Raw genomic sequence first — 9,113 nt, forward strand, 5'->3', positions numbered from 1 at the left:
CAGCCTTTTAGTAATATTGGACCATTGTCTTCTAATGTCCATTGTTGCTAATTTGAAGAATACTGCTGGTTTTTTTCCAGTGTCTCTGGGGTGATTTTTAAAAATATTTTCCTAGAAAATTTTTAGCCTTTATCTTAGTTCATTTTGTGTTACTGTAAGAAAATACCACATACAGGGTAACTTATGAAGAAAAGAAATTTATTTCTCACACAGTTCTGGAGGCTGGGAAGTTCAATATCAAGGGGCTGGCATCTGGTGAGAGCCTTTTTGTGGCATCATCCCGTGGCAGAAGGCAAAAGGGCAGGTGAGGAAGGAAATGAGAGTTACAGAAAGCTAAACTCACTTTATTATCTCTTTATGCTAACAATGTATGAGATGATATCAGTGTTTTACTGTGGAGTTTCTGATTGCCTTTCTTTTTTCTTGTTAGGTGAATAAAGGCAAGCCTACTTCCCAATATTCTGAGTGTTTTTTTCAATAACTGGAAACTAATTTGTTGTCTTATTGAACATACAGATTTTCATTTTAATTTGAACAGTTGGCTTTGTATGTACTATGTTCTCTTCTACAACTTTTTGTTTCTTCTGGAGATGCCTATGTTTTTTCTTTTTTAAAAAATATTTTCCTTCTTTATAAAATGTATAAGTTTTCTCAGTCTCTCCCTTGTATTTGCCATTCCACAGAAAAGCCTTTATTTCCTAGAAAACTTTTCTTTTGGATTTTTCTTACTTTCTTTTCCAAAGTAAAATAAGTGTAATTTTTTGTTCCTTTTACATGGCTACTGTCCTGGGACTTTCCTTTGACATTCACCTAGGTTGAATCCATTAATTATCTGATTACAAATCTAAATCAGGGGTTTCCCCATATAAATTATTAATAAAGGTTAAATAGGAAGTACACTTTCAAGTACTTGTGTGCCTGAAAATTATCTTTATCTTAATGCTTGATGGAAAGTTTGCCTGAATATGAAATTTTAGGTTTAAATTATGCTCCTTATAAATTTCAAAGTAATAAAGGAACAGAGAAATAAAATTATGCAGCTACTTTTTTGTGGGGAATTTGGCAGTTATGATAATGGTGCAAGACACAGATCAATCAGTTAATGACCATGTAGAGGGCAAGTACAAAGATTCAGAGAAAGAAGCAGACATTTGACAGCCCCATAGAGCTCAAGAGACCAAAATGATAAACTTCAGGGATTAGGATTCTGATGAGAAGACTGTAACAGAGAAATGAGTACATCAATCTGTTAATTTTATTCCCAAAACATTGGCTAAATTCTTAAGGATTATGAATCCTTATTATTGATTTTCTCAGCAGCTCCATAATGCCTTCAAACAAATGCATTTTTATCTGGATTGTCTACTTCTATTTTGATCTGGATTTTTTTAAAAACTTGTTTTGGCAGCAGCATTGATTTTTTGCAAACTACTCTGTCATACTTGAAAGTGGTACCATTGAGATCATAGACTTTTTTATATTGGTTACAGATCTACTAGATTCTCATGTTGTTTACAGAGATTTTTTTACATTGATTCTTGGTAGTTATCCAAACATATAATAATAACTCATAATCATGCCTCTCTCTTAACAACTGTAATGCATCTAATCCTTTCTGTTGTCCAATTTCATTGGCTAAGCCTTTTAGCCTTATATAAAATAGCAATAGTGATGATAATCATTCTTGTTTTTTTTTTTCTGACAATAGCAGGAAAGCCTCTAGTGTATCCCTATTAAGTAAGGTGCAAATTTATAGGGGATGAGGAATACATACATACACATATGTGTACATGATGATATCATGCTTAGGAAACACTTATCAAATTCTAATTTATTGACTACTTACAACATGAATATGTTTTGAGTCCTATAACATAATCCTTTTGCATCAATGAAGTTAATGACATGACTTCTCTACATAGATTAATTAAGATGGTGCTATAGATTGAATTGTGTTCCCCTTGAATTTATATATTGAAGTTCTAACCCCTAATATCTCAAAATATGACATTATTTGGAGATAGGGCTTTTACAGAGGTAATCATTAGAGTGGGCCCTAAACCAATATGACTGGTGTCATTATAAAATGGGGATGTTTGGTAACAGGCACGCATGCAGGAAAAGTGCCACAAAAATATGAAGATATCCATCTATAAGCCGAGGAGAAAGATCTGAAACAGATTCTGTCCTCACAGCCCTCAGAAGGAACCAATCCTACTGACATTTTGATTTTAAACTCATAGACTTCAGACCTGCGAGACAGTAGATTTCCATTGTTTAAGCCACTCAATTAGTAGTACTTTGTCATGGCAGTTTACCAAACCAATACAGATGGTAAGGACATTGGCAAAAATGGAGGAGTAAAGACTTCTAACAATTCTCTTCACCATAGAAGCAATGAGAAAACTAACAAAAATTTTCAAAATTAACTTTTCTAAAAAACTTTAGATATTAATAGAGGATTATAGCACTCTATTCAAGAATATTGGCTGAATCTCAGTAACAACAGTGAAATTTGTGGCTTTTAACCTGGACTATTCCTATCCCTCTGTTAGCTCTTAAGTAGCCTTGAAAATAAACATCTTGCAATCACAGAGAAAACTAGAAGCCTGGTATCCAATGGAGACAGCAGAAAGGGATTGGAGTGCCTTCGAGATCTCATTCCCCCAAAATATAATTATTTGACCTATCAGGTAGTTCCCTGAAAGACTCCATTTGCAGAGCTGTCTTAAGCCCCTTTTGCCCTTGGGGATCTTGTCAAAAACAACTGGAGCCAATTTTTTCACTCTGTGACTGCCTGAAGTGGCAGATAAGAGTTGGGGCAAACAAAAAGCAACACAAAGAGCTTAAAATGAAAACTGAGGAATGAGATTTTTATGGAGGCTTTGAAAATGTTGACATACTCCTGGGAATCTAGACAGACACAGAAAAATGTGAGAAAACCCTAAGTCTGTATCTCTGGCTGAACTTGAGGCTTTCTTCATGCAGAAAGTGAAACCTAAAAAAGTTTTCAACCGTGTAACTTAACACAGTGTTAAAGATGTACTCCAGAATGCACTCAGTGCTCTGCAACAAAGACTAGGAGATCTATTTTTGTACATAGGCTTTTAAATAAATCTCTGTATAAGGAGTAGATTATTAATAAGCTAACCAAGAAGAGATTTCAGTGGCCACATAATTAAAGAACACTGACTTCACAGATTTAGGTTAGAAAAGTCATAAAGTAAACAGTAACAATAACAAAGAAAACATAAACCAAAAACCCTGAGGGTTGTAGGGAATCCGATATTCAATAATTACCAAAATATACTATTTTAAATATCTGGTTTTCAACAAAAACTATAAAACATGTAAAAAAAAAAAAACTATAAGTGTGTTTCCTACATGGGGAAAAACTGAAAAACTGCTCCTAAAGAGTCTCAGCCATTAGAACTACTAGGCAAAGATTTTCAATCTGCGACTTTAAATATATCCATATAATGAAAGCAATTCATATATAAAGAACGAAAGGAAAGTATAAGAATAATATCTCACCAAATAGAGAATGTCAATAAAAACACAGAACTTTTTAAAAGAAGCAAACAGAAATTTGGACATTGAAAATTACAATAATGAAATGGAAAAATTCATTAGAGGGTTTCAATGGCAAATTTTAGAAAGCTGGAGAACTTAACAATATGTCAGTTGAGATTATCCAGCCTAAGAAACAGAAAGAAGAAAATCAAGAAATCAAGAAAAAAATCAGGAAAGAATGAAGAAAATCAAGAAGTCTCTGAAACCTGTGGGATATTATCAAGCATACCAATATATGGATATTGGTAGTTCAGAAGGACAGAAGATAAAGAAGCAGAAAGAATATGCAAAGAAATAATGGCTGAAAACTTCACAATTTTGATAAAACAAAACAAAAACCACTAGTCTACACATCCCAGAGGCTCAATAAACCCAAGTACTATAATTTGTAGATATCTATGCCAAGGTACATTATAATAAAACTCTCTAAAGCCAAAGACACAGATAGTCTTGAAAGCAGCAAGATAGAAGTGGCTTATCACAAACAAGGGATTCTGAATAATATTATCAGCTGATTTCTCATCAGAAAGCATAGAAGACAGAGGAAATTTTTAAAAAGACTTTTAATTAAAAAATTTAAATCCAGCAAAACTATCCTTTAAAAATGAAGGAGGAAACAAAGAATTCATTACTACTGAACTTGTCATACAAGAAACACTAAAGAAAGCTCTTCAGACTGAAATGAAAGGATGCTGGCAAGTAACTAGAATTTAAATGCAGAAATAAAGGGCACTGAGGAAGGTAACTAAATAAATATAAAAATAAATATATATTTTTGTTTTTAATTAGTTTGAAATAAAAAATATATTTTGTGTAATACTATGCAGGCATAAAAAAGAATGAGATCACGTCTTTTACAACGACATGGGGGATTAGGAATAATGGAGGCCATTATCCTCAGCAAGCTAATGCAAGAACAGAAAAACAAATACTGCGTGTTCTCACCTATAAGTGAGAGTTATATGATGAGAACACATGGACACATAGAGGGGAACAACACACACTGGGGCCTGTCAGAGAATGGGAGGAGGGAGAGGGTCAGGAAAAAAAAAACTAATGGATACTAGACTTAATGCTTAGGTGATCAAATAATCTGTACAACAAACCCTCAAGATACACATTTACCTATATAACATGACTGTACATTTTGTACATGTATCCTTGAACTTAAAATGTTAAATATATACATGTATATGTATATATATAGGTTGTAATATAAAAAGTTTTCAATTATTTTTATCCTATTCGAATTAAAAGACAGTTGCATAAAGCAATAGTTATAAATCTGTGTGAATAGGTACACAATGCATTAGAATGCAAATTGTATAATAGCACCAAGGGTGGGGGATGGAAAGAATTTATACAGAAATAATTCTGTATAAAATTTAATTTGGTATTAATCTGAACTAGATTATGTTAAATTAAGATATTAATTGCAATCCGCAAGGAAACCACTAATTTTTTTACTCTCCACCTATAGTAAAAGAAGCAACAAGGGAATTACAACAGTATTTTAGAAAATATCTAACCATGATAATAAATTTTATTAATCAATTTTTTAACATTGATGCATTTCTGGAGTAAATTCCACATGTTCATGCTACTGGATCCTTCTTACCACAATTTTACCTGAGATTTTTACATCAACATTCATAAGTGACACTGACGCGAGTGTGTTTTTATGATTGTGAAATCATATCACAAAATAACTTGAAAGCTTTTTTTTCAATTATCTGCAATATCTTGGCTAGCACTGACATTTTCTGATCTTTGACAGGTTTTTAGAAATCCCCTCTGCAACCATATTGTTTTCATGTTTTTCCTTTTCTAAACTCAATTTTTAAAAAATTTCTATTTATAATTTAGTGTATTTAAACTTTCTGTCTCTATTGAGATCATGTATTAGTCTGTACTCACGCTGCTAATAAAGACAAACTTGAGACTGGATTATTTATAAAGGAAAGATGTTTAATTGACTCAAGTTCAACATGGCTGGGGAGGCCTCAGGAAACTTACAATCATGGCAAAAGAAGAAACAAACACGTCCTTCTGCACATGAGGACAGCAAGGAGAAGTGCCAAGTGACAGGGGGAAAAACCCCTTATAAAGCTATCAGATCTCGTAAGAACTCACTATCAGGAGAACAGCAGTATGGCGGATAACCACTCCCATGATTCAATTATCTCCCACCAGATCCCTCCCAGGACGGGTGGAGATTATGGGAACTACAATTCAAGAAAAGATTTGGCTGGGCACAGTGGCTCACGCCTGTAATCCCAGTACTTTGGGAGGTTGAGGCGGTGGATCACCTGAGGTCAGGAGTTCAAGACTAGCCTGGCCAAGATGGTGAAACCCCGTCTCTACTAAAAATACAAAAATTAGCTGGGCATAGTGGCGGGCACCTGTAATCCTACTCAGGAGGCTGAGGCAGAGAATCGCTTGAACCCGGGAGTCGGAAGGTTGCAGTGAACCGAGATCATGCCACTGCACTCCAGCCTGGATGACAGTGAGACTCTGTCTCAAAAAAAAAAAAAAAAAAAAAAAAGATTTGGGTGGGGACACAGCCAATCCATATCAGATCATTTCTGATAAACTATAATTTTTCTAGAAAAACATGTATTCTAAATATGGTTCAAATATATTTGCATAACCTTCAATGACTACTGCTGGGAATACCTTTTGCAACATAGCACCACTGCTTTGGAATGCAATTTGACATTATTTTCTAAAGCTTAACATGCATGTGTACTGTGAACCAGCACTTCCACTCCTAGATATATATCCAACAGAACTGCATATATTACATATATGCACTAAAATATGTTGATTACTTGTCTTATGGTCCATAGAAATATGAAACAATGATGAAAGTGTGTTACTTTGAGAGATGCAGATGCCAAAATGCAAGGGTGAAGAAAAAGAAAAATAAAGCAAGGATAATGTAAAACATTGTAAGATGATGATTTACCTTGTAAGTTACCTTCTCATGCTGGTTAGTGAAGAATTTTATGGTTAACTGCTTCCAGTTGCCAGATAGGAATATTGAAGTGGAAATGCAAAAAGAAAATTTGTCTCAGGGTAGTCCAGGATGTGGAGGAAGGAAGATGAATTCTCCAACCTCTTGTTTTTCCATTGGTCAATTCCTGGCCTGTGGCCAGAGGTAACTCATTCTTGGCTCTCCTGTTTTGTCTTCTGATTTTATCTGGTGCCTATTCAGGATGCCAGATCCCAAACTCTGTGATTTGGTGTTTCATTTAAGAGTAGAGTAGTTAGAGGCCAGGCATGGTGGCTCACGCCTGTAATCCCAGCACTTTGGGAGGCCGAGGTGGGTGGATAACCTGAGGTCAGAAGTTCGAAACCAGCCTGGCCAGCACGGTGAAACCCCAACTCTACTAAAAATACAAAACTAGCTGCATGTGGTGGCACATGCCTGTAATCCCAGCTACTTGGGAGGCTGAGAAGGGAGAATCACTTGAACCTGGGAGGTGGAGGTTGCAGTAAGCCTAGATCACACCATTGCACTCCAGTCTGGGCAACAAGAGCAAAACTCCATCAAAAAAAAAAAAAAAAAAAAAAAAGTAGTTAGAGAAGCCAAAAACCCCAGGCCCAATAACCATTTGGTCCAGAATGATAATACATTTCAAAAGGAATCCACATAGCTGAGGAAATCTGAGTAAGCACCTAGGTTGTTTTGTGAGTCCAGTGTCAAGTACAAGAATGTTTATTGCTGTATTATATACAATAGCCTTAAATTGTAAATAATCCATATTACCACCAGTAGCATTATGAATAAATGGTGGTATTAAATGTAAAATGAGTTAAATTACTGCTACATGTAATGGAGTGAATCATTTCATTTTAAAATTTTGAGTAAAAGAAAGCACATGTGCAAATGTATAAATAATGTTATTTACATAAACATTTTAAAATTAGGCAAATTGATCTATAGTGTTAGAATGGTGCTTACCTTTAGAAAGTTGTGGTAGGGGAGGGGTGTTGAAAATGGGACATAAAAAGGACTATTGAACGAGTGCCAGTACTGTTTCTTGACCTAGGTGATGGTCAAATATGTTCATGTCATCAAGTTGTACACATAGAACTTTTGCACTTCTGAATATATATCAATAGAAAGTAGTTTAAAAATACAGATCCTTCTTAACTTACTCTGGGGTTACATTCCAATAAATCCATCGTAAGTTGAAAATAGTTGAAAAATAGTTGAAAACCTCTTGTTGAAAATAGTTGAAAATAGTTGAAAATCCAAAACTGGATTCCTTATAACAAGGACTCTCACTATGTGGCTGGCCAAAGGCAGAAGTTTGCTGCTTTGTCTCATGATATATGTGTCTGTGTGTGTATGTGTGCATATTACATGGTAGTTTATTTTGTTTAGTTGTTCAAACATCATGCTTTAGAGTCTTTTTTTATTTTTTAATCTTGAATAATTCCTATTCCTGGTTCCTTTCTTTTCTATATCTTTTCTGTTTTATAACTCATGTTTTAAAATAAAATTTTGTTTGTTATTCATTCTTTCATTTTTGCTTGTACTATTCTCTAGGTTTATGTGTTCTTTCAATTTTATAAAATTAAATGATATAAACATGTAATGCTATAGGCTTTTCTTTCCATAGACTTATAGATTCTGATGTCATGTTTTCAGCATCAATCTGTTTCAAAAATTCTTCAGCTTACATATGTTTCCCCTTTGACCCAAGTAATATTGAATAGTATTTTCCTAATTTCTCATCAGAGAATCTTTTTAAACAAGATATTAATTTCTAATGGTACGGCACTGTGGTCAGCAATGCTGCCAGATTAACTATGTTATTTTAATTTATTGAGCTTTATCTTGTGTCCTCAGATTTGATGAGTTTCCATGAATGCTATATATGCATTGTTTTATTATACATGCTCTATTTTCAGAAATCAAAGTTTAAAGGGTAACTATCATATGTACTTCATATATTTTATTACTTAGTTAGCTATGTTATGAGGTAAGTTGGGACCATTAATCTTCCTTTAAATGAGTGGCATTTGGGGTGCCACATTTAAAACTTATATATATGACCGGGAGTGGTGGCTCATGCCTGTAATCCCAACATTTTGGGAGGCTGAGGCGGGCAGATCACCTGAGGCCAGGAGTTCAAAACTGGCCTGGCCAACATGGTGAAACCCCATCTGCACTAAAAATACCAAAATTTAACTGGGCCTGGGGTTGGGCACCTGTAATCCCAGCTACTTGGAAGGCTGAGGCAGAAGAAATTCTTGAACCTGGGAGGCAGATACTGCAGTGAGCTGAGATTATGCCATTAGACTCCAGCCTGGGCAACAAGAGTGAAACTGCATCTCAAAAAAAAAAAAAAAAAACTTATATATATGCATATACATACACACATTTGGGTACTTAAGTATATTTTAACTACTGAGTATCATTTCATTATATCAGTGTAATAAATGCACCACAGGGTTTTTCAAAATTCATGTTCTGTTGATAGATATTTAGGTTACTTCAAGTGTTTTGGCTATTATAAGCAAAATTG

Source organism: Homo sapiens, chromosome 6, assembly GCF_000001405.40.
Source record: "Homo sapiens chromosome 6, GRCh38.p14 Primary Assembly".
Lineage (NCBI taxonomy): Eukaryota > Metazoa > Chordata > Mammalia > Primates > Hominidae > Homo > Homo sapiens.